This window comes from Homo sapiens, chromosome 1 (assembly GCF_000001405.40).
Source record: "Homo sapiens chromosome 1, GRCh38.p14 Primary Assembly".
In the NCBI taxonomy this organism is placed as follows: Eukaryota; Metazoa; Chordata; class Mammalia; order Primates; family Hominidae; genus Homo; species Homo sapiens.
The window spans coordinates 6204840-6228755 of NC_000001.11; the positions used below are offsets into that span (position 1 = coordinate 6204840).

Consider the following 23916-nt stretch of genomic DNA (forward strand, 5'->3'; position numbering starts at 1 on the left):
CCGAGCTTTTTCTAAGCCTTTATTGAGCACTACTGTGGGTCAGGCTCTGGGCTTGACTTTGTAATCGCAAGAGGGGCAGAAACGGGCTGCTCTCAGGACACTCAGGAGAACACGGGCGGAGAAAGCTCACTGATCACGTCGACCTAGCAAGCGAGCGCACGCTGGAGAAAACGCTGGGATCAACACGCATCTGCCAGGCCCAGACGGCAGAGGGGGCACTGCTGGAAAGGCCGGGAACCTCCCCTCTCAACCTCCCACCCAAACCCATCCCTCTTTTGGGAACTTGGCAGGCAATGAGGATAGGGCCTTAATTAAGTGGACGCCCAGTATGTGTATTTCACGTGCGTTATTCCACTGGGGCCTCACCCATTATCAGGACACCAGTTCTATTTTAACCCAGCGCTGAGGCTCTGAGAGGTCAGTAACATGGCCAAGAGCTCACAACCAGCGAAAGGCAGGGCTGGGATTACAGGGCGTCTCACTCCGCCTCCCAAGCGCTGGAAAGTCGGTGGAGGGGCGTCCGCTGCTCTCTGGCGCCCCCAATTGGCCGCCGAGGAAATGAGGCGGCGATGACCTGTTCAGACCCAAATGGGATGGAAGAGTGGGGATTAGCGGGGGTAGGGGGTGGGGTTTGGACTCTTTTTTTTTTTTAAGACAGTCTGGCTCTGTAGCCCAGGCTGGAGTGCAGTGGCGCGATCTCGGCTCACTGCAACCTCCGCCTCCCGGGTTCAAGCAGTTCTGCCTCAGCCTCCCGAAGGGCGCCACCATGCCTGGCTAATTTTTGCATTTTTAGTAGAGACAGGGTTTCGCCATGTTGGCCAGGCTGGTCTCGAACTCCTGACCTCAAGCTATCTGCCCGCCTCGGCCTCCCAGAGTGCCGAGATTACAGGCGTGAGCCACCGCGCCCGGCCTACCCTTGAAGACCCCGCAGCCAAGGTCCTCCGGCCCCGCTCTGCGCGGCGCTCTGGTCTTGGGGCTCCGGACTCTGTCATGCCGGGCAGGGGCCAGTCCGATCCTTGCACCCTTGCCTGGCACCGTCCCTGGAGCCTTGGCGTCCTGGCCTCTCCTCCCCGCGGGCTGGAGGTGGAGTGGCCGGGCCGGAACCAGTGCGCAAAGCAGATGGCGAGCGCGGAGGTCGGTTCGGCCCCGCCGCGCCTCAAGGCAGCAGCCACCCTGGGGAAGGTGGATGCCGGAAGAGGCGTCGCCTGCGGGTCACCCAGAGGACACCCGGCGGGGAATTCCGAGGGTGGGAGTGAGGAGAGGTAGGAGAGGCCACGGCAGAGGGAGGCCCCGCGCAGAGTGGGAACCATCGCCCGGTGCGGGCCTGAACTTCCAGGGCCGGCTACTCCTCGGCAGAGCGACCGCGCGGTGTCTCAGAGCGCGGCCCGGAGCCGCACTAAGAGCGCTGGACGGCGGGAGAGAGGCTCGGAGGACCGGTAGCTCCCAGCAAAGCGGCCCAGCGGGTAGGTACAAGGCCCCGCCCCTCGCCAGTCCTCACTGCCTGTTCTCCCTGCGCCGGGGAGCTCCAGGCCCCAGCCCTAACCTGGGCCCTAGCGGCTCCCCACTCCATGACCTCTGGACGCCCAGTCGGGTCCAGGCGCGATAGGGAGGGCGCGGGCGCCCGGGCAGAGGGGCCGCGGGAGCTCAAGCGGGGCTCCGTGCGTGCCCCAGCCGCCCGCTTGCGCTGTCGCTGCAGATGTCGGGAGCTATCTTCGGGCCCCTGGAGGGCCCGAGCTCCCTGGATGCCCCGAGCATCCACCCGCTGGTGTGCCCGCTGTGCCACGTGCAGTACGAGCGCCCGTGTCTTCTGGACTGTTTCCACGACTTCTGTGCCGGCTGCCTGCGTGGCCGCGCGACCGACGGCCGCCTCACCTGCCCGCTGTGCCAGTAAGTGTCCCAAAGTTCCCCAAAACCCCCCAGACCCCATCCCCCGGGCCCAAGGTTGGCTCTGCCCGAGCTGGGACCCAGGTGCCAGGAGAGTAAGGCTCCAACTTCAGGCAGAACGACTGGGAGATACTGCACCCGGTCCTTAGCTCTCCCCGCCAGAAGTTGCAGGCTTCGGTCCATTTTATAGATCAGCTTAACTGAAGCCTGGAGATTGCAGTTACTGGCCCAAGACCTCCCATCAAAAGTCAGAGGGTAAGGGCGGGGCTCCAGCACTGGTCAGGACGCTCCCGGTTACTCGCTTGGGGGTCCTAGAAGTCTTAGGTCCACAAAACCACAGTTTCAGTTATGTGGGCTCAAGGAACCCAGGAGTGGCTCTGATTTGCCCAATGCCGTGAGAAGATGTCGAGGAGCAGCTTCTGCTTTTGATACTAGGGGACCAACCCCACTGTCTGCAGGAGTGCCCAGGACTGGGCAAGGGTAGGGACCAGGGCAGGGTGAGTGCTGGCTGTGATATTTATAGCAGACCCCAGAGCTGTGGTGCACCCCACCTCCCAACACAGCTATTTTTAGCTCCAGCCTGGAATGTGAGGGGTGGGGGTGGGGAGCCCTGGGGAAGGGGTATCAGAATCTCGGGGCCTGGGCTTCTCTGCAGACACCAGACGGTGCTGAAGGGTCCCAGCGGGCTCCCGCCGGTGGACCGGCTGCTGCAGTTCCTGGTGGACAGCTCAGGGGATGGCGTGGAGGCGGTGCGCTGTGCCAACTGTGACCTGGAGTGCAGCGAGCAGGCAGGGGCGGCAGGGCGGGTGGGTGAGGAGCAGAGGGTACCCGGTTGCACAGTCCCCAATGCTTGCACATGCACTCAGCATGTCTTCAGAGGACGACCTGGCAGTGGATTCTCCAGCACCTCCCTAGGGCACCTTGGCCCCAAATGTGAACCCCATTATACCGGTGGGGAGACTGAGGTCCAGAACAAGGGACTTGAGCCAGTGTCCAGACAGTGGCAGAGGCTAAGGCCATTCGATCTGGGGAGAGCTCACTGGTCCCCAATTCAGGGTGGAGTTGTGGACCTGCACAGGAGGGGCAGTCCAGTTTGCAGGCCTGGGCCGACCCTGAAGGGCCTCTGCTACCCAAGTGGCATAGAAGCAGCTACAGCCCAGGGGAGGTGGGGACAGCATGCTGTTCCCTCTGGGCTGTAAAAGGCACAGGGGACTCTGGCCTGCGGAGGCCAGAAAATGTATCGGGAATCCCAGGAGGACGGCCCGACTGGGGCAAAAGCTCCAGCGTTCTGGACAAGTGCTGAGCAATGTGTGACCCAGACGTACAGAGAGGATTAGCAGGAGGTAGGGACTGCAGGTAGGGCCTGTTATGTCCATCATTGCATGCGTCCATACCAGGGCTGCAGGCCAAGCCCTGGAATCCCAGCCCTGGGTCTGGCTTGGGGAGGAGAACCTTAAAGCCCTCACTGCTCTTCCCCTCCCCCCGCCCCCAAGTGTGACTCCAGATGGCCAGGGTGTACACCACCTTTCGGCCACTATTGAGTGTGCCAAGGGGGCCGTGAGAGGCCCTCACACCCTTTTGTTGCAGGTAAAAAAAAAAAAATTTTTTTTTTTGAGACGGATTCTTGCTTTATCGCCCAGGCTGGAGTGCAGTGGCGCCAACTTGACTCACAGCAACCTCTGCCTCCCGAGTTCAAGTGATTCTTCTGCCTCGGCCTCCCGAGGAGCTGGGACTCCAGGCGCCCGCCACCATGCCCAGCTAATTTTTGTATTTTTATTAGAGACAGGGTTTCGCCATGTTGGCCAGCTCCTGACCTCAGGTGATCCGCCCGCCTCGGCCTCCCAAATTGTTGGGATTACAGGCGTGAGCCACCGCGCCCGGCCTCGGTAAAATGTTTTATAAAGGCAGTTTCTGCCCTCTCCCCGCGTCCCCCACCCCCCTCCACGGACCTACTTACCCAGCCTCTGAGCCGCAGTGCCCTCCTCTGTAAAGTGGGTATATCAGAGCGCCAAGTGCCTGGATTACAGGAAAGGGCTGCGTTTAGCTGCGCACCCGGCCACGGCTGGGACAAACACGCGCAGTGACACGCGGCGGCTGCGGTTCCCGCGCTGGCCGCGGTCGGGCTCTGGCGCTCCTGAGCCCGCGCTCGGCCCGCAGGACGTGGAGACCACGTACTTCTGCAACACGTGCGGACAGCCCCTATGCGCGCGCTGCCGCGACGAGACGCACCGAGCACGCATGTTCGCGCGCCACGACATCGTGGCCCTGGGTCAGCGAAGCCGCGACGTGCCCCAGAAGTGCAGTGAGTGAGGCTTGCGGGGCCGGGGACTTGGGGGTGGGGGCGGGGCGGGCACTGACCGGAGCCCTCACCACCGCCCGCCGCCCCCGCAGCGCTGCACGCAGAGCCCTACCTCTTGTTCTCCACCGACAAGAAGTTGCTGTTGTGCATCCGCTGCTTCCGCGACATGCAGAAGTGCGTACAGGGGACGCGAGGGGAGGGGGCTGGGGGCCGCTGGAGCGGGCCTCACCCGCCGCCTTCTGCAGGGAGAGCCGGGCACACTGCGTGGACCTGGAATCGGCTTACGTGCAGGGCTGCGAGCGGCTGGAGCAGGCGGTGCTGGTGAGCGCAGGGGCCTGGCGCGCGGGGCCGCGCGGCGGCGATCGCGAGCCTGACCACGCCCTGTCCCCAGGCCGTGAAGGCCCTGCAGACGGCCACGCGGGAGGCCATCGCGCTGCTGCAGGCCATGGTGGAGGAGGTGCGGCACAGCGCCGCCGAGGAGGAGGACGCTATCCACGCCCTCTTCGGCAGCATGCAGGTGAGGGGTGGGGGTTGGGGGATAAACGACCCAGCCGGGACCTGGTGACACAGGGCTGGTCCCTTGCCCTTGTGGATTTCCAGTGTAGTGGGGCAGCAGGCCTTGCACCAAGCACTTTCCTGGAGTTGCTAGGAGAGCTGGGAGGGGAAACCAGGGCCTGCCGCAGGCTGGTGGTGGGGGTGTGAGGTGGTCAGGAAAGACTTCCCTGGGGAGGTGACATTTAAGGTGACGGGACCCAAGCCCTCACCAGGCAGCAGATGCAGGGCTGGTAGGTTGGAGAGATACCTAGTGTAACCAGCAGGTGGCTGGGGTCCGGGGGGTAGGCATGGTGGGAGGTGGCAGGGCTGGGGCGCAAATCAAGAGCATGCTCGCCATCTCTCCCAGGACAGGCTGGCAGAGAGGAAAGCGCTGCTGCTGCAGGCTGTGCAGAGGTGAGTTGGGGGGAGCGGGGCTTGCTTCCCTTACCCCTTGGCCTCCATGGCCTCAGCTCAGAGCCTGGGCAGGCCCTGCCCCACCCTGAGGAGCAAGACATCCGAATGTCCTCCCAGCTAAGGAGGGCAGCATGGCTCAGGGTGCAGAGAAGGGGTTCAGGGACGGACATGCGAAGCTGGAGGCGGGTGGGGGATGGAACTGCCCGGCCCTGCTCCTGGCCCCCTGGAAACCAGGCAGCCCCCCTCCCCCAGCCAATACGAAGAGAAGGACAAGGCCTTCAAGGAGCAGCTCTCTCACTTGGCCACCTTGCTGCCCACCCTGCAGGTACAGGGAGCTCGGGGTGCGGGTGGGTCCCTCCTCCTCCCCGGCCAGGCACTGAGCAGCATCCCCTCCCCCAGGTCCACCTGGTCATCTGCTCCTCCTTCCTCAGCTTGGCCAACAAGGCTGAGTTCCTGGACCTGGGCTATGTGAGTCTCCTCTGCTCCTGCAGATGCCCCCTCCCCACCAGGAGCCCACCCTGCAGACCAAAGCCACCAACTCAGGGGTGGGCAGCCTGTCACCTGGAGCCTGGACCAGGGATCTCGGGGCTGACCCCCTCCCAACTCCATCATCTGCAAACCTGTTAGGGTCACTGTTACAAGGACAGTGAAGCCAGGAAGGGGGCATGAGCCTACAGTCCCCCGTGGGGCGGAGTGACCACTGGAGTCCAGCCGCCCCCTCTCCTGTGGATTTGGGGATGGGATGGGGGTTTGTCCGGGTGAGTCCCAGAAGAGGGCTGGCGCTGCTAAGGGACACCAAGTCAAGTGCCAAAGACAGACGTGCTCCGCCTCCATCTCCCCTCTTCCTGCCCCCTGGCTGCCACACCTCCACCGGCCTGAGGCCCTCCTCACTGCCACAGGAGCTGATGGAGAGGCTGCAGGGCATCGTCACGCGGCCGCACCACCTAAGGCCTATTCAGAGCAGCAAGGTGTGCAGTGGCCTGGGTGGGCCAGGGTCGGGGGCCCTGCAGGGCAGTGGAGGCCACCTCATGACCCCATCCCGCTGCCCAGATTGCCAGTGACCACCGAGCTGAATTCGCGCGCTGTCTGGAGCCACTGCTGCTGCTGGGGCCACGTCGGGTGGCAGCTGCTGCAAGTGGTGCTAACACGTGAGCAGCAACCGGGGAGGCCAGGCACAAGGTCCCCAACACTGGGGTGTGGGGGAGGGTGGGCGCTGAGGGGCCAGATCGCCAGCAAGAAGCCAGGTGCCACCATTCCTTCCTCCGTCCTTAGCTCGCCACCCTCCCAGCAGGGTGTCTGGGCACAGGGGATGGCCAGGGCGAGTCCACTAAGTAGGGGAACAGGAAGCCCTGGACCTGAAGTCCATGGCAGACCGGGCTCGGAGCTTGGCTAAAGGAGGAGGGGAGGACTCAGGCCCCCAACTACCACTGCAGCCTCCCCTGGGGTGGGGCGCCTGGGGCTGGGCTGACCGCCACCTAGGTGGCCTGAGGTCATAGGGGGCCTGATTCCTGGACTCATCTGGAGAGGAGTTAGAAGAGATGCTGAAATGGCATGTGTGTGTCCAGGGGCCCCAAGACCAAGAGAGACTGGGCCCACACTTCCTCTGTCCAGCATAGAAGTGAACACACCACTCACTCGGTCCTGGCCCCGGCAGCATTCCGACGGACTTGCTCTTGGCCCCACATCCTGGAACCCACTCCAGGGACTTTAAAAAATAGATGTGGATGTCCGGGTGAGGCCTTGCCTCAGCCTTTTCAAATCTCCTGGTGGCTCTGCTGTGCTCCAGGTGGTGGAGAGGGCTGTGAGATCCCGGAGCAGTCCAGGGGGCTGCCCTGGGAGGCTGGGGGAGGGGCAGACTTCCCCACCCCCCTGCATCCACACTGGCTCTCTCCCCAGGCTGGCAGGGGGCTTAGGCCCCAAGGCGCTGACGGGGCCCCACTGCCCCTCCCCAGTAGGAAAGATGTCGGGGTCACCCGTCCAAAAGCCCACGCTGCACCGGTCCATCAGCACCAAGGTGCTGCTGGCGGAGGGCGAGAACACGCCCTTCGCAGAGCACTGCCGCCACTATGAGGACTCCTACCGGGTGAGGGGGCAGGGATCTGCCGGAGGGGGGAGATGTCCTAACCCACTCCTCACCAAGGTACGCTCAGGGAAATCGAGTTCTCCCAGCTGCTGAAGCTGGGAGCCATTCCTCCACCAAGTCCATGGCAGTAAAAACAGCCTAGGGTGACCCACGCTCTCACACAGCCTCTCTGTGCAGCACCTGCAGGCAGAGATGCAGAGCCTAAAGGACCAGGTACAGGAGCTGCACCGAGACCTCACCAAGCACCACTCGCTCATCAAGGCGGAGATCATGGGAGACGTCCTGCACAAGTCCCTGCAACTGGACGTGCAGATCGCCTCGGAGCACGCCTCCTTAGAGGGCATGAGGGTCGTCTTCCAGGAGGTAGCCCTCCCAAGGACTCTAACTCCAGCCCCACCTGTCAGGGGATACCTGGGCTACCCTAAGACAGTAAGCGGGGAAAGAGGACCTGGCCTGTACCCCACGGGACCCTCATGTGGCAGGGTCTGGAAACTGGGAGTCTTTGCTGCTTGGAACCACGTGGACCTGGCTGGGGGGTGCTTTGTAGATCTGAGTAGCTAGAGATAGCAATGCCGCCACCGTAAATTCAGCTCACTGCCACATCCAATGTCCAGCTTTTCTCTTTCAGATTTGGGAGGAAGCCTATCAGCGAGTGGCTAATGAGCAGGAGATTTATGAAGGTTCCAGACAGTTGGCTGCCGAGTGAACCCTCTGTCCCTGAGCTAACCCACATACTAGCAGAGGAGGAAGTCAGAGTCGGCCACTAACCAGATGCAAATCCCCACACTCTTCCCCTTAGCGCTTGACCGTGCCTCCCAGCTGCTAACTGGCCTCAAATGATGCATGTGAGGTCAGGATTCATTGAGTAGAATGCCCCCACCAAGTGCCTCCCTCTTTAATTAGAGGTCATCATGGAAATGGTCGGGATATTTACGTGGTGCCTGGCTTGAGTAAAAATCTGAAGCCAGATGCTTCAGGATTAAGACCCCATGCTCTGGCCTTGGCCCCACAGCCCAGCTCCATGACCTTCTCCAGCTGAGGCAGGAGAATGCCTACCTGACCACCATCACCAAGCAGATCACGCCCTACGTCCGCTCCATTGCCAAGGTGAAGGAGCGGCTGGAGCCCAGGTGAGGCCAAGGGGGTGTTCCCAGGGCCACTGAGACTCTTCAGAATGTGCATGGGGGCTGGGTGCGGTGGCTCACGCCTGTAATCCTAACACTTCGGGAGGCTGAGGTGGGCGGATAACCTGAGGTCAGCAGTTCGAGACCAGCCTGGCCAACATGGTGGAACCCCATCTCTACTAAAAATACAAAAATCAGCCATGCATGGTGGCTCATGCCTGTAATCCCAGCTACTGGGGAGGCTGAGGCACGACAATCTACAGCCTGGGTGACACAGTGAGACCTTGTCTTAAAAAAAAAAAAAAAAAAAAACTGCATGGGAAAGGTGCCACACCCACAGGACCCTGTTCAGGGAAGTCAGCTGGCCAGGTCATTAGGGTTCCTTTGGGGTATCTGGGCGGACAAGGTGCCGGACATTTGCAAAAGCATGGTCACAGTGAGTGGGCTGCTCTGAGTTTCTGCTTTTAGGCTCAGAGTTGGTCCCTCCAACCCTCAGGAGTAGGTCAAAGCAGAAGGCACTTTCTAAGGGTGTCACGAGGGTCCTGCTGGGCTGATCCAGGCAGCAGGACATGGAGGAGAGGGCAGGAACTTCATCAATGTAAGACAAGCCAAGTCTGTGCAGAGTCCTGACCAGGCTGTCTCAGCACTGTGCTCAGGTTCCAGTGGCAGAGGGATCTTGGTGGCAAGTCTTCGCTGTTCCTGTCTCTGAGTCACTGGGCCCCAGGATAGACTGGTTGCCCTGTAGGTCTAGGGAATGGCTGGAGCCTGGGCTCTCCCTTCACCACCCTTGTGGTGAAGTGCCTGTCAGGTTTTAGGGGGGCCCACCTCCTGGTAACTTCTTGAGAAAGAGTGTGAAGGAGGTGCATGTTTGGGATGGCAGGGTCTGACAATGTCTCCATTCTAGCTTCATACTTGACAGTTTCACTGGGTATCAAATTCTAGATGGGAAATTCTAGATTGGGAAGGATTCTCCTTCAAAGGCATCGCTCTCTCGCTTTCTTATTTTCTAGCTTCCATGGTTGTTGTTCATGAAGTCTGAAGGCACTCAGACTCCTAACCCTTGTAATGCGACCTACTAATTCTCTGTGGAAGCTTGTAGAATCTTCTCTTTGCTCCCAGTGTTCTGAGATTTCACTTTGGTGAGAGTCTATTTCCATCCATTAGGTTGGATACTGGCAGGCTCTTTCAATCTGAAAATTCATGGTCTTCAGTTTTGGCATATTTCTTTTTTTTTTTTCTTTTTGAGATGGAGTCTTGCTCTGTTGCCGAGGCTGGAGTGCAGTGGCGCGATCTTGGCTCACTGCAGCCTCCGCCTCCTGGGTTCAACTGATTCTCCTGCCTCAGCCTCCCAAGTAGCTGGGATTACAGGTGCGTGCCAACACGCCTGGCTAATTTTTGTATTTTTAGTAGAGATGGAGTTTTGCCAAGTTGGCCAGGCTGGAATATTTCTTTCTTTTTTTTTTTTTTTTTTTTTTTGAGACAGAGTCTCACTCTGTTACCAGGCTGGAGTGCAGTGGCATGATCTCAGCTCACTGCAACTTCCGCCCCCTGGGTTCAAGCCATTCTCCTGCCTCAGCCTCCCAAGTAGCTGGGACTACAGATGTGCACCACCACGCCTGGCTAATTTTTTGTATTTTTAGTAGAGACGGGGGTTTCACCATGTTGGCCAGGATCGTCTTGATCACCTGACCTCGTCATCTACCCGCCTCGCCCTCCCAAAGTGCTGGGCATGAGCCACCACGCCCAGCCTCTTTTTCAATTTGTTGATTTCTTCACTTTTTCTTTTTGGAATTCCTATTGTTGGATATTGGCTCCCCTGGGCTGGCCCTCTAATGTACCTTTTCTGTCCTATTTCCCTTTTTTTTTTTTGGATGGAGTTTCACTCTTGTTGCCCAGGCTGGAGTGCAATGATGTGATCTTGGCTAACCACAACCTCCGCCTACTTGGTTCAAGCCATTCTCCAGCCTCAGCCTCCCGAGTAGCTGGGATTACAGGCATGCGCCACCACGCCCGGCTAATTTTGTATTTTTAGTAGAGACAGGGTTTCTCCATGTTGGTCAGGTTGGTCTTGAACTCCCGACCTCAGGTGATCTGCCTGCCTCAGCTTCCCAAAGTGCTGGGATTACAGGCGTGAGCCACTGCACCCGGCCCCCCTTTTTTTTTTTTTTTTTTGAGATGGGGTCTTGCCATGTTGCCCAAGCTGGTTTTGAAATTCCCGGGCTCAAGTGATCCTCCCGCCTCATCCTCCCAAAATGCTGGGATTACAGGTGTTAGCCACCGTGCCAAGCCTCTTTATCTTCCATTAAGTAGTTCATTTCTGCTATCTTGTTTTGCATGTCCAACAGCTCTTTCTGTACCCCGTTTCTTTTGATGGCATCCTGTTGTTTCAGGGACACAATATCTTACACCTCTGAGGCTAATAGTTTATTTTTTCCTTTTGGAATTTTCTCCCTGAAGTGTTTCCTCCCAATTGCTTTTTGCTTGTGAAGGTCTTTGTTTGTTTGAGACAGTCTCGCTCTGCCGCCCAGGCTGGAGTGCAATGGCGCCATCTCAGCTCTCACTGCAGCCTCCACCTCCCAGGTTCAATCGATTCTCCTGCCTCAGCCTCCAGAGTAGCTGGGATTACAGGTGTGTGCCACCACGCCCTCTAAGCTTGTGTAGGTTTCTATCTTCCAGGCTGAAGGTTTTTCTCAGATGTCAGGTCACCCTTGAGTATCTGCTCATATTAGGAGTGGGGCAGGGCTGGAGCCATGAGGCAGATCGGAAGCTCTGAGCACAAGGGTGGTACTTCCTTGGAGGAGATCAGGGTGGGTGGGCTCTTGCTTTTATGGAATGCCCCGAGGTCAGTTTTAGATCCCTTTCCAGTCCTTCCTGGGAAGCCTGTCTGTGGAGCATCTGTATGCACACTGGGTTTTCTGGTTTCAGTACATTTCTTGTCTGTGTGTGGTGACCTCTCAGAACCCCTCAGACTTCGGCTGCAGTGGGAGAGGACCAGTTGCTGAGTGGCAGGGATCTTGGCAGTCACCTGGAAGACTGGAAGGGGACATGAAGGGGGCTTCTGGGTGGGGACAACGTCCTGGGTGCTACCCACACAGACTTGTTCACACCATGAATGTATCAAGCCATACTCTACCTCTGCAGAAATAAATTGAGGCTGGAGCCTAGCTCCTGGAGGTTTCGGGCAAGGTGGGGCCGGCTCTGCTCCTCTTCAGAGCAGCCACTTTGTGGATGTCTGCAGTTGCTCCCTCAACCCACTTCACTCCAGGTCTGCGAGTCCACTCATCCACTGAGTCTGCTCTTGCTCCAGTCGCAGCGAGCCCTCCCGTAGGTCCAGGCCTCCTCCCTTGGCCTCTCAGCAGCACTCGTGAGCATCGCCATATTCATCTTTTTTTTTTTTTTTTGAGACCGAGTCTCGCTCTGTCGCCCAAACTGGAGTGCAGTGGCGTGATCTCGGCTCACTGCAACCTCCGCCTCCCGGGTTCAAGCGATTCTCCTGTCTCGCCCTCACGAGTAGCTGGGACTACAGGCGTGTGCCACCACACCCGGCTGATTTTTTTTTTTTTTTAATTTTTAGTAGAGACGGGGTTTCACCATGTTAGCCAGGATGGTCTCGATCTCCTGACCTCGTGATCCGCCAGCCTCGGCCTCCCAAAGTGCTGGGATTACAGGCGTGAGCCACTGCGCCGGGCTTTTTTTGTTCGTTTGTTTTAAAGACAGGGTCTTTCCCTGTTGTCCAGGCTGGAGTGCAGTGGCTCAATCACAGCTCACTGCAGCCGCGATCTCCCAGGCTCAATCAATCCTCCCACCTCAGCCTCCTGGGTAGCTGTGACTACAGGCATGTGCCACCATGCCCGGCTAATTTTTATAGTTTTGGTAGAGATGGGGTTGTGCTATGTTGCCAAAGATGGTCTCCAACTCCTGGGCTAAGTGATCCTCCCACCTCAGCCTTCCAAAATGCTGGGATTATAGACGTGACCGTGCCTAGCCATGTTAGTCTTCAGTACACCTTCTCTTTGCTGACAGCCCCGCGCTCCCATGCTCCTGCCAGCCTCTCCAGCCGTTCCTTCCTGGTCTCTGGCTGGCTCTGCCTCCTCAGCTCAGTGCCCAGATATGTTTTTCCCCAGGGCTCAGCCTTAGGCATTCTCCACAGCCTACGCTCACTCCTTGGGCGACCTCATTCAGTCCCTGGCTTTAAGACCCCATCATGACGCAGACCCCCAGCTCCCGCTCCAGCACAGTGCTTACCAGAGCTCCAGACTCATCTCCCACTGCCCCCTTCCTGGGCAGCCCTACCTGGATGTCTACAGGCACCGCGAGTTCAGCAGTGGCCAGAATGCTTGACGTCCTCCCGCAGACATGCTATTCCCATCTCCCCATCTCAGTGAATAGCACCACATTCACTCAGGTGAAAAGCCTGGGAGAAAGCCTGGATTCCTTTCACCCACTTCATTTCCAACCCACCCCCAAGTCCTGCTGGCTCTACTGTTCCTGCCTCAATCCACCCGCTTTGGTCTCTATTGCTCCCCTGAATCCAGATCATCATGGCCAACCCTCCTACCCCTCCAGCCGCCATGAAGCCAGGAGTCCTTTAGAAGTCTATGATTCCCATCACCGCGGGGCTGGACAGCTCTCTTGGGGACCTTCCCTGTGCACCTGTGACCGTGTCTGCCCCTCATAACACCCTAGTCACAATGCCCTTTCAGTTCCCCAAAAAAGCTAGACTGGTCCCACTTCTGGGCCTCTGCCTGGAGTATTCACAGACCCTCAGTCGGGCCCCAGCTTGGATGAGTGTCAGCAGAGGCCCTCCCCACTCCACCTGGATTAAAGCAGGTCTGCCTGGCGCCCTGCACCACACACCCTTCCCTCCCTCAGCGTGTCTGGCCCGACCAGCACGCAGCTTCCATGATGGCAGGGCCTGGCCTCTCCTGCACGCCATGCAGGCCTGGCCCTTGCCAACCACTGGACCTTAGTAAATATTTGAGGAGCAAAAGAATGAAACGCTAGGTGGGTGCATGAGTGGTGGCAGAGTCTGGTTCTGAGGTTTCTGAGCTTAAGGCCGTGCAGCAGCTGGCTCTGCTCCCTTGAGATTCTGGTGCCCACTCCCTTGCCAGGTTTCAGGCACCCGTGGATGAGCAGTCAGAGAGTCTACAGAACACGCACGACGACAGCAGGAACAACGCGGCCTCAGCCAGGTAAAGCAAGTCTCTCCACTGGAGAGTGTGCACGCGATGTGGCTTCTGAGGCCAACAGGACGACAAAGGAAACTCCAGGCTTTTCCCCTTTGGCGCCAGCTCTGGGGCCCTGGCTGGGCCTCTTTGTAAAACAAGGGGTCAGAGAGGCTCTCAGCCCAGATGAGTAACTTATAAGTGACCTCATAGATAAAACAGGTGTTCCTTTGATAGACAGAACCCCATTTTACCATTATAAACAGCCATGGCTGCTGCCTGCATCCACTTTCACCACTGGGAGCTGCACGTGCTTATGCTAGGGGACTCGGGTCACTGAAATGAGAAAGTGACCGAGGACTGTTCCCCAGAGCCAGCGCATGCGCCCCAGTACCTGCCAGAGGAAGACGGCTGTGCATTAACACCTACGACACAGTCACAGGCTGATCTTTGTGTATTTTGCTTTCAGGAAAACATAGTCACAGGGCAGAGGACAGCACTGTAGAATGAGAACCAGAAGAGCCTAGGGGTGTGCAGAGGGTTGCTGAAGTGGCCAGAGTCACAGCGCGGCTGGTGACAGAGCAGAGTCTGGCCCCAGCCTCCCCTGCACAGCCGCCATTTATTAGCTCAGATGCTTCCAAATTCAAAATGCAGTGTCACCAGAAACCGCTGACACAGGCTGATGGTTCAGCAACTCACAGCCATCCCCTGGGGATGGGCTCCTACTCAGAAGTAGACAAGGTCCTTTTGGAGACAGAGCCTTCCTGGTTCTCACTCACTGAGGCCTTCCAGGAAGACGTTCCATTCTGAGTGCTTTGGCCCAAGTGGATTTTAGTGCAGGGATATGGTGAAATGGGGGAGCGGGCTGGGCTTACATGAGGCTGTCCCTTTAGGAATAATCCAGGAAGTGTCCCGGAAAAGAGAGAGAAGACATCAGAGCCTAAAGGAAACAGCTGGGCTCCGAACGGCCTCTCAGAAGAGCCTCTACTGAAAAATATGGATCATCACAGATCCAAACAGAAAAATGGGGGCGATGTCCCCACATGGAGGGAACACCCGACTTAGCAAATGGGACCGGTCCCCAGGGTCAGGCTCTTAGAGCAGGCACAAGACTGGGACACTGGACAGAAGGTTGTTCCCATGATGGTTTTTTTTATTTTTTATTTTTGAGATGGAGTTTCGCTCTGTTGCCCAGGCTGGAGTGTAATGGTGCAATCTCGGCTCACTGCAACCTCTGCCTCCTGGGTTCAAGCGATTCTCCTGCCTCAGCCTCCCGAGTAGCTGGGATTACAGGCGCCTGACACCACGCCCCGCTAATTTTTTGTATTTTTAGTAGAGATGGGGTTTCACCATGTTGGCCAGGCTGGTCTCAAACGCCAGACCTCAGGTGATCCACCTGCCTCAGCCTCCCAAAGTGCTGAGATTACAGGGGTGAGTCACCGCGCCTGGCCAATGTTGTTGTTGTTTTTAAGACAGAATTTCACTCTTTGTTGCCCAGGCTGGAGTGCAATGGCGCAATCTCTGGCTCACCGCAACCTCCGCCTCCCAGGTTCAAGCGATTCTCCTACCTCAGCCCCCAGAGTAGCTGGGATTACAGGCATGTACCATCACACCCGGCTAATTTTTTGTATTTTAAGTAGAGAGGGGGTTTCTCCATGTTGGTCAGGCTGGCCTCGAACTCCCAACCTCAGGTGATCCGCCCACCTCGGCCTCCCAAAATGCTGGGATTACAGGGGTAAGCCACTGTGCCCGGCCGGTTATTTCTTTAAAAGGTAATCATTTGTCAAGAGTAAAACCCAGAAGCTCTGACAGGCCATAATTTCAGATCCTTTGGCTTGGGCAGTTTTGATTTTCCCCGTGTTTGCATGGCATGAAGTCTTCGTCCTTGTCACAGTAGCTTGGGATGACTCCCAGTCCACATGGAAAACATCAGGGAGTGACAATCCAGCAAGAAATCCCTCGCTAGTTCCACACCTACGCACCGAGCGTCGGTGTGCCAGGCCCTGTGCTGGGCAGAGTGTGGTATGTCAGGGTGTGCCGGTTTTAGGTAACAAGACTCCACCACTGAGTGGCACCTGCCCTATTGCAAAGGAATCCAGTTCCTCCGGAATAACAGTCCCACTGTTAACCTGGTGCTACTGGGAAGTTCCACACAGTAATCTGAGCAGTGACTCATGGAAGGATGAGGAACGTTTGCTCCAGCTTCTCTCCCTTTCCAGCAAGGGCAGAGCTCCTAAAGCCAGGGGTTAGCACCTGGCCAGCTTATGTGGCAGATGGTCTCAGTTACAACTTCGCTGCTTTCCCAAACTCCTGCAGCCCTCCTGAGTCCGACTTCCGTTGATAGCAAGGCACTGGGTGGCAGCAACCTTTTTTCTAGTAGTTTTTTCCCAGCAGTTTTCCATTTCTCCACAGTATCCTTTTCATTTAGAGGAGCTTAATAAATGCTTTTTAAAAAGTAACCCACGTGACGTAAAATTTTACAAGTTTTTGTGGCAAAATGATGCCCAGATAGTCACATTTAAGCAAATATTCAGCTTGATTCAGTGATTAACAGCAAATGGGTCTACGTGCTAACATGGCAGCACATTCAACACATAACACATCACTCACATTGACGTCCACTGTCCCTGCACCTGCTACTTCAGGGGCACTGAGGCTCCTGTTCCAAGGCCTTACAAACCTATGTGGTGGCCTGCAGGGCAAAAGGAATTATCATTACAACTGGTTAGAGGTAGGAATTCAGAAAGAAATTGAGGAGGCCAAACACACGTCGTTTGAGGCTAAAGGCTTAAGACGCTTCTTACCCAAGAGTGACCTCAGAGTTTCACATCCCAGACAATCACACTGTGGTTGAGTGAAATCAAGTGCAGTTTTATTTAAGAACTGGAAAGAATAATCAGTATCTGTGAAAGAAAATCCAATTTAGAATATTTAAATAAACATTTATGTAAAAAGAAGAGTAGAATAATTACTCCGTTCAGTTCCTCTCCTTGCAATGGGATAGGCTGCCTCTGCTGCAGATGGCTGGGTCTTCCAAACCCATGACAAGTGCCACGGCCTCTGCAGCAGTGGCCCAGAGAGTAGGCACTTCCCAGCATGACAGAGAGGCCGAGGCCTTCTAACCTTGCCAAACCACTACAAAAGCAAACTAGGGTGGGCAAGCCCAACTACCTAAGGCAGGAAGAAAGTGCAGTGAAGGGACAGTGGTGTGCTGTGCGTATCGTGGGGGTACTCCTAAGCAGCTAGCTGTTGGCGAGATCTTACAAAGCCTGATCGGCTAACGCAGCTTCCTGGTTTAGGAACATTTTCCCCGGTCGTATCAATCCCCCAGGTTGGTAAATGAACAGAAGGGATGAATAAAGCCTACTTTTTAGGCTCAAGGAGCAGCTCGTGAAGGGGTGGCAGGTGCGCTGCTGCCTTGTTTTCTGTCCTGCTAAGAGGCTCACCCCGCGACCTCTTCTGTAAACTGCCACTCAGCAGCGGCCTGCAAGCCCTCACGAAAGGCTTCACTCTATGCTGTTTCCAGGTAGCTTTGTTCTGACAGTACCTATTTTCCACTTCAGAATCTCCACTTTAAAACCTGCAATGGAAAAATAAATCTCTTGACAGTTTTTTAAATCGAGAAAATTGGTGATGTGGCCTTGGCAGCAAATACCCAGAAAGCCTTTACCTCATTAACCTGATTCTCCACGGGCCCTGCCACTGCTAAATTTATAAAGCTAAAAATAATCTCAAGATCATGGAACTAAAAAGAAGTCAATCACTTACCAAATCCTGTCCTTAAGGAGTTCATCTTGGCTGGGCGTGGTGGCTCACGCCTGTAATCCCAGCACTTTGGGAGGCCGAGGCGCGTGGATCACTTGAGGTCAGGAGTTCGAGACCAGCCTGGCCATCATGGTGAAACCCCGTCTCTACTAAAAATACAAAAAAATTAGCTGGGCATGGTGGCCCAAGCCTGTAATCCCAGCTACTCAGGAGGCTGAGGCAGGAGAATCGCTTGAACCCGGGAGGCAGAGGTTGCGGTGAGCCGAAATGGTGCCACTGCACTCCAGCCTCCAGCCTGGGCCACAGAGCAAGACTGTCTTAAGAAAATAAAAAAAATGGAGTTCATCTTTTATCCCTAAGTAATTGCTGACTTCTGCTCTGGGATTATAAACAGGGTGGGAATGTTCTCCCACCATCCCTACCCCTGGAATTCCTCTCCAAAGCAGAGTACGTCAAGTTTTCCCTGGTGTCAGACAGCATTTCACCATGAAACCCTAAGACCTGCCTCCTGGGCTCCTTCCAGCTGGTGGGCCTGGTGTGAAGGTGGGCTTCCTGGGCCTCTGGCAGATGGAGGATGGCATTAAATGCCAACACAGTCAGCTTACCATCCACAAGGCCAGCAGCTGCCAACAGCTGCCCTAGACCTATCAACAAGACAACTTCATGGCTCCCAATGGGAATGGAGGCTGGGCCCGCCCTACTTAGAGCAGGGGAAAGAACTTTTCCCTCAAAGAGCCGGGGCAGGATGCCAGAATCTAACTACATCCTCTCCCGGTTTGCAGTTCTAGGAAGTGGAATTTGCTGCCCTAGGCGTGGTCTAAAGGACAAGTTTAGAAATGATTCAACTCAAGTTCCTAAACAGAGTAAGTGCCAGTTGATGTCCCACCGTGGATCCTTTACTCCAGAAAAATTGTAATGATGGCTCGGCCACCGCCTTGGCTAGAGTCCCACTGCACGCGTGTCGTGAGGGCCGATGGGCAAGTCCGTCCGGTTTTTTTTGTTGTTGTTGTTGTTTTTTGAGATGGAGTCTCGCCCTGTTGCCCAGACTGAAGTGCAAAGGCCCGATCTCAACTCACTGCAACCTCCGCCTCCTGGGTTCAAAGGATTCTCCTGTCTCAGCCTCCTGAGTAGCTGGGATTACAGGCACCCGCCAGCACGCCCAGCTATTTTTTTGTATTTTTAGTAGAGACGGGGTTTTATCATGTTGGCCAGGCTGGTCTCGAACGCCTGACCTCATGATCCACCCGCCTTGGCCTCCCAAATTGCTGGGATTACAGGCGTGAGCCACCGCGCCCGGCCGTCTGTCTGGTTTTCAAACCAATCAATGAACCCGTAAGCCTCTTTGGTATATATAACAATGAAAAAATTCATTAAGCCATGAAATCTAGAAATAAGTCATATTTCTGAGTTGATAAAATGCTTTTCTGAACATACATTTTAGGTATCTGGCACAATTAACCAAATGTCTGCCCATTTTTGTGTAGCTTTCATACAGTACAGATTTCATTGATGTCGCTCCCACATCTGAGTATTAAAAACATTTGACATTGTTCTTCTCAGTCCTCACAACACCCCTGTGAGGTAGGTGGTATTGACCCCATTCCACAGATGGGGAGGTCTAGGCACGGAAAGGTTTAGTGGCTCCTCACAGGCCGCGTGGTGGGGCAGCAGAGTGGTGCTCTGGCCCCGCGCCGACGCCGCCTTCACATTCACACTTCTTCAGTGCCACCGCAACACTGCATGGCAGGATCTCACGCTGAGGCCAAGTTCCTGTCTAGTCCAGAATGAAGCCAGCGTCTCACCTCTTAAAGCTTCGATGTGTGACTCAAAGCCAACTTACTCTCCCAAACTTGCAAAACAAACATACTGACTGAATCTTAGTTGGGACTATTTGCAGTATTTAAGATTATTTTTGAGAGTCAATCTGCTTGGATTTGTAGTTGTATATGCTCAAATCCCTTTGGAAAACAGTTTGAAATGACATGAGGGACAATGTAATTTTGAGAACAGAACACAGAAAACAAGAGTTCTGAGACTGGCATTGAAATTGAGAATATAAGCTATGGTAAAATGAGAATCAAATCCCAAATAAACGGAGAGCAGCACTTCTCAATGTTTAAGGCCACGCACAGGGCAGGCATTCAGTAAGCACTTCTTGGATCAAAAGAAACTGATGCTCCTTTGAGCCGCCTATCACTGACAACAGGAGCTGAGACCCCCGGGAAAGCCAGCCAGGGCCATGATCCCCTTGGCCTGGGGCCACGGTCACACAAAGCCACTCAGCCAAATCGTGTAGAGTTATCTAGGCTTACTTGCTGCAGGATAAAAGTTGAACTAGAACACCAAGCATTGAGCTAGGAATACCCCTTTGAATGTGTACTGCTACTTATAAAAAATAGGTATGTAGCTATGATTAAATAGATGAAGGGCCAAAGCATCCTATGAGGAAGTATTTTTAAAATTGTATAGATGTTCATGCAGTGGGGGACAGAAATAAAGAGGTTAAAGCGGTCTGTGTTTTTCGGTTAAATGAAAGGTTGTAAATGCATTTTTACCGCTGATAAGAAGGGGTACCTGCTACCCCTTTCTGCTGTGGAGTGTTGCTGAGGACAGAGTCCATCTCTCCCAGCGAGTCCTGGTTATCCTTTACTTACACTCTGGCCTCGGGGGCAGTGGCGTGTGGCCTCGGTCCTCCCCAGGTAACTCTGGAGGGCGCTGTGGAATATTGCTGTGATTTGCCCCTTACTCGTCTTTCACCCATGTTCCGCCTTGATTCGGCATAAGGACAGACTGCTCCAGTGGGGCCTTGGGTCCTCAGGCCTTCTGACCGCTTGGTCTTGAGTGACATTCCAGAAGAGTGACTAATGACATAAAACGATTAAGAAAATCCATGTGGCAGCGGCCAACCGGAAACAGTTTTGTCCCAGGCTGCACAGGGTCGGAGGCCCCAAGGTCACCGGGGCCACTGCCCGTCACAGGTCCACCTTGACCCCCTTTATGAAAGGCAGGCCCGTGGGCACCCTCTTCTTATACTCCAGGTACTCCTCTCCAAAAAAGTGAATTAGTGAGATTTCTTCTTCTTCTGTTCGATCGCGGAAGAATCGCCACACTGTCAGGGCATAGCTGACGCCGCAGATGGGGTTACACAGCATCACCTAACAGAGGGAGACACCAGGCTCATCAGGGTGACCGTGGGATGACGCCCTGTGCTTTGGTAGGCGTCTGTCTCTAATACCCAGAGGATTTCTGTGCCCATGCCCTGCTGAGACCGTCAGGGTCTCTGGGAGCAGTACTGTCACCTTAGCCCTGAGCACTCAGTGCTGCAGGCCTTTCTCACGTGCTTTCCTGTTGCTCCTCTTACATGAGAGAGATCTGTAAATCACAAGATCAACCTCTTGGATTTCAACCCTCAGCTTGGGGTGACAGCAATGCCCCCCACCTCCAGGTGTGAGCTCCCCAACATGAGGTCCCATGCACGCTGCCTTCCTGCCCAGGACCCTCCCACCACAAATGCATTCGCTTACACCACAGCTGCCTGGGCCTCTGCCTCCTAAACCCACAGCCTCTGCTTCAGCACGAGATACAGTGCCACAAAACTCAGCTTCCGAAATGCCCCTTCCAGCAGATTACCTCCACGCTCAGAGAGCTCCAGAGACTGAACCCCACCCCCTGAGTCTGGGTTTCCAACCCCAGAAGAGCAGCACTTCGCCCACTTCCCCAGTCTCCTGCCCTCCCCACGCTGTGCCCACTTTGCCTCTTTTTTTTCCCCCGAGACAGATTGTCACTCTGTCACGTGGAGTGCAGTGGCGTGATCATGGCTCACTGCAGCCTTAACTGCTTGGGCTCAAGTGATTCTCCCACCTCAGCCTCCCAAGTAGCTGGGACTAAGGGCACATGCCACCACACCCAGCTAATTTTTGTATTTTTTGTAGAGATGGGGTTTCACAATGTTGCCCAAGCTGGTCTCGAACTCCTGGCCCTTTCTTCCACCTTTAAGAACATCCTGGCCAGGTACGGTGGCTCATGTCTGTTAATTGCAGTACTTTGGGAGGCCAAGGAGGGCAGATCACCTGAGGTCAGGAGCTTGAGACAAGCTTGGCCAACATGGCGAATCCCCGTCTCTACCAAAAATAGAAAAATTAGCTGGGCGTAGTGGTGGGAGCCTGTAATCCCAGCTACTTGGGAGGCTGAGGCAGGAGAATTGCTTGAACCCAGGAGGCAGAGGTTGCAGTGAGCTGAGATCGCCACTGCATACCAGCCTGGGCGACAGAGCGAAACTCCCTCTCAAAAAAAACAAAGAACATCCTTCCCACTGATCTCCAGCCAAACAGTCCTTCAAGGCCAAAAGCATTCCCCAGCTCCTCAGGGAACCACTCACCTACACCTGCCCACTGGTCCCCTGTGGATGTGCATCTTCCCCAACATACATTTTCTGTATGTTTTCTGAATATATATTTTAGGCTCCAATACAGCCACCCGGAGAGCCAGGCTCATGTCCTGACCTCTCACACCTTCTCTTATTGAGCACTTACTATGTTCCCAGCGCCATGCTAAGCCCTTTACAATCATTACCCTGTTCAACTCTCATGGCAAACCTTTGAGGGCACGCTACTATCCCCACTTTGTTTTTTTTAAAATTTTATTATTTTTTAAAGACAGGGTCTCACTATATTGCCCAGGCTGGACTTGAACTCTTGGCCTCAAGCCATCCTCCTGCCTCAGCTTCCAGAGTAGGGGGAACTACAGGCATGTGCCACTATGTCTAGCTGCCCCCACTTTAACATGAGAGGAGAAGGAGGCCAAGCAGTGAATGTCAGAATCAGGACTGGCCCAGTCAGTGACTCCGGGGCCTGTACCCTCACATCTGGCATAGCTTGCTGGGGATACCCTACAGTGGGAGTTCTCTATAGCAGGCTGCAGCCTGTTACTAAGCCATGAAATCATTTAGTACATTATGAACAGTATTGAAATAATAAGATAGAAAACAGGATTTTGTAAACAGTAAGTGTAAGTATTATATCAGGAAAGACATGTTCCTTTCATACACACACAAGTGCTGGAGCACAATGTAAAAAAAATCTATGGGCAAAAAGGTATGGAAAACCCTTTGGTTCTAGTGCACACACATATACAGGAAGCAAGCATTTATGGCAAATTACATTATTCAGTCATAACTAATTTGTTCCCAGGGAAGGTGATTGTTAATGTGGCGGTTTTACATGTTTCAGAAACAAAAATTGTAAATGCTATGTGATCATTTGCCCCACCTATACCGTTAGGGGTCACCAGAGTCACCAAGGACCATGCATTGCTGATGGGATGCCTGAGAGATCTCTGGATTTGCCCAAAGACTTGGAGACTTTTCCCAAACACTTCGTGAATTTTCCAAGATCTATTCACATTCTTTGGCCAAGTTTTTCTAGGACCAAGAGTAAAGAATCAAGAAACAGTTTCAAGAAATAAGGCGGCCAGGCGCGATGGCTCACGCCTGTAATCCCAGCACTTTGGGAGACTGAGGCAAGTGGATCATGAGGTCAGGAGATTGAGATCATCCTGGCTAACACAGTGAAACCCCGTCTCTACTAAAAATACAAAAAATTTAGCCAGGCATGGTGGCGGGCGCCTGTAGTCCCAGCTACTCAGGAGGCTGAGGCAGGAGAATGGCGTGAACCCAGGAGGCGGAGCTTGCAGTGAGCCGAGATTGCGCCACTGCACTCCAGCCTGGGCGACAGAGCGAGACTCTGTCTCAAAAAGAAAAAAAAAAGAAATAAGGCTTTGGGTTGGGCATGGTGGATCATGCCTGTAATCCCAGCATTTTGAGAGGCTGCAGTGAGAGGACTGCTTGAGCCCAGGAGTTCAAAATCTGCCTGGGCAACACTAAGACCCCATCTCTACAAAAAACAAAAAGTTAGCTGGGCATGGTGGTGCACACTTATAGTCCCAGCTACTCAGGAGACAAAAGCAGAAGGTCTGCTGGAACCCAGGAGTTTGAGACTAGCTTGGGCAACACAGCGAGATCTCATCTTTAATACACAAATAAATAATTTTGTTTTCTGTTTTTAAGACAGGGTCTCACTCTGTTGCCCAGACTGGAGTACAGCAGCAATCAAAGCGATCCTCCTGCCTCAGCCTCCTGAGTAGCTGGGACTACAGGTGCACACTACAACTTCCAGATATATTTTTAGTTTTTTCCTCTGGAGAGAAGGGTTCTCACTATGTTGGCCAAGCTGGTTTCTTTTTCTTTTTTTTTTTTGAGATGGAGTCTCGCTCTGTCGCCCAGGCTGGAGTACGGTGGCGCGATCTCGGCTCACTGCAAGCTCCGCCTCCCGGGTTCACGCCATTCTCCTGCCTCAGCCTCCCAAGTAGCTGGGACTACAGATGCGTGCCACCACACCAGGCTAATTGTTTGTATTTTTAGTAGAGATGAGGCTTCACTGTGTTAGCCAGGATGGTCTTGATCTCCTGACCTCATGATCTGCCTGCCTCAGCCTCCCAAAGTGCTGGGATTACAGGCATGAGCCACCATGCCCGGCCAGCCAAGCTGGTTTCTAATTCCTGGCCTCAAGCAATCCTCCTGCTCTGGTCTCCCAAAGCCACTGTGCCTAGCCAAATAGTAATTTTAAAAAAGAAATATGCGGGTTGGATGCA

The 23916-nt window shown here is 54.9% G+C and overlaps 2 protein-coding genes and 1 long non-coding RNA gene across 13 annotated transcripts in view, besides 8 other annotated features; 1 reads left to right on the forward strand and 2 right to left on the reverse strand.

Moving 5' to 3' along the window:
- RNF207-AS1 (RNF207 antisense RNA 1) lies at window positions 1–941 on the reverse strand. Its single transcript, NR_125997.1, has 3 exons — window positions 915–941; window positions 367–574; window positions 1–143 (listed from the first exon to the last, which is right to left on the reverse strand). It is a non-coding gene; the product is annotated as an RNF207 antisense RNA 1 (long non-coding RNA).
- Window positions 310–604: a silencer, noted in NCBI's record as "tiled region #5942; K562 Repressive DNase unmatched - State 1:Tss". NCBI's record gives its function as "represses a minimal TATA promoter and a strong SV40 promoter by Sharpr-MPRA in K562 cells {active_cell/tissue: K562}" and the evidence as "EXISTENCE:reporter gene assay evidence [ECO:0000049][PMID:27701403]".
- Window positions 656–1475: an enhancer, noted in NCBI's record as "H3K27ac-H3K4me1 hESC enhancer chr1:6265555-6266374 (GRCh37/hg19 assembly coordinates)". NCBI's record gives its function as "activates a minimal SCP1, AML or CMV promoter by ChIP-STARR-seq in naive H9 embryonic stem cells {active_cell/tissue: H9 hESC(naive)}" and the evidence as "EXISTENCE:reporter gene assay evidence [ECO:0000049][PMID:30033119]".
- Window positions 1123–1352: an enhancer, noted in NCBI's record as "active region_75". NCBI's record gives its function as "activates an Ori minimal core promoter by ATAC-STARR-seq in GM12878 lymphoblastoid cells {active_cell/tissue: GM12878}" and the evidence as "EXISTENCE:reporter gene assay evidence [ECO:0000049][PMID:35858748]".
- RNF207 (ring finger protein 207) lies at window positions 1280–16460 on the forward strand. 10 transcript variants are annotated; one of them, NM_207396.3, is made up of 18 exons: window positions 1280–1463; window positions 1697–1887; window positions 2540–2672; window positions 4042–4186; window positions 4276–4357; window positions 4429–4504; window positions 4575–4700; window positions 5085–5131; window positions 5384–5456; window positions 5531–5599; window positions 6031–6099; window positions 6182–6279; window positions 7028–7214; window positions 7392–7577; window positions 7843–7894; window positions 8227–8344; window positions 13450–13530; window positions 14397–16460. In NM_207396.3, exons 2-18 carry the CDS (start codon window positions 1697–1699, stop codon window positions 14566–14568), a joined length of 1905 nt encoding a protein of 634 aa, NP_997279.2. In that variant the 5' UTR covers window positions 1280–1463; the 3' UTR covers window positions 14569–16460. The 10 variants fall into 10 exon arrangements, 6 of the variants coding, with proteins under 6 accessions (NP_997279.2, XP_047275966.1, XP_011539741.2 ...); XM_047420010.1 differs by lacking the exon at window positions 2540–2672 and having other exon boundaries at window positions 7392–7643; XM_011541439.4 differs by lacking the exon at window positions 2540–2672.
- Window positions 1553–1722: a silencer, noted in NCBI's record as "silent region_139". NCBI's record gives its function as "represses an Ori minimal core promoter by ATAC-STARR-seq in GM12878 lymphoblastoid cells {active_cell/tissue: GM12878}" and the evidence as "EXISTENCE:reporter gene assay evidence [ECO:0000049][PMID:35858748]".
- Window positions 3870–4164: a silencer, noted in NCBI's record as "tiled region #13921; HepG2 Repressive non-DNase unmatched - State 23:Low". NCBI's record gives its function as "represses a minimal TATA promoter and a strong SV40 promoter by Sharpr-MPRA in HepG2 cells {active_cell/tissue: HepG2}" and the evidence as "EXISTENCE:reporter gene assay evidence [ECO:0000049][PMID:27701403]".
- Window positions 4209–4278: a silencer, noted in NCBI's record as "silent region_140". NCBI's record gives its function as "represses an Ori minimal core promoter by ATAC-STARR-seq in GM12878 lymphoblastoid cells {active_cell/tissue: GM12878}" and the evidence as "EXISTENCE:reporter gene assay evidence [ECO:0000049][PMID:35858748]".
- Window positions 13996–14196: a silencer, noted in NCBI's record as "peak28 fragment used in MPRA reporter construct". NCBI's record gives its function as "represses an SCP1 promoter by STARR-seq MPRAs in K562 erythroleukemia cells {active_cell/tissue: K562}" and the evidence as "EXISTENCE:reporter gene assay evidence [ECO:0000049][PMID:32103011]".
- Window positions 14627–14812: a silencer, noted in NCBI's record as "fragment chr1:6279526-6279711 (GRCh37/hg19 assembly coordinates)". NCBI's record gives its function as "represses an EF-1alpha promoter that drives an FKBP-Casp9 reporter gene in an ReSE screen in K562 erythroleukemia cells {active_cell/tissue: K562}" and the evidence as "EXISTENCE:reporter gene assay evidence [ECO:0000049][PMID:32094911]".
- ICMT (isoprenylcysteine carboxyl methyltransferase) overlaps window positions 16354–23916 on the reverse strand; it is a 14772-nt gene continuing 7209 nt past the window's right edge. For both annotated transcript variants that reach the window (NM_012405.4, XM_011541140.3), the window contains one exon: window positions 16354–20423. In NM_012405.4, the coding sequence (NP_036537.1) occupies window positions 20241–20423 (183 nt within the window). In that variant the 3' untranslated portion in view covers window positions 16354–20240. The remainder of the gene's footprint in view (window positions 20424–23916) is intronic.

What these genes read in the sequence shown, in the direction of transcription:
- RNF207 (XM_047420021.1), top strand. Translation starts at nt 1,697, where the DNA reads ATGTCGGGAGCTATCTTCGGGCCCCTGGAGGGCCCGAGCTCCCTGGAT. An exon ending in CTCACCTGCCCGCTGTGCCA is followed by an intron (nt 1,888 to 2,539) that starts GTAAGTGTCCCA and finishes GCTTCTCTGCAG; the next exon opens with ACACCAGACGGTGCTGAAGG. An exon ending in GCTGCAAGTGGTGCTAACAC is followed by an intron (nt 6,280 to 7,027) that starts GTGAGCAGCAAC and finishes CTCTCTCCCCAG; the next exon opens with GCTGGCAGGGGGCTTAGGCC.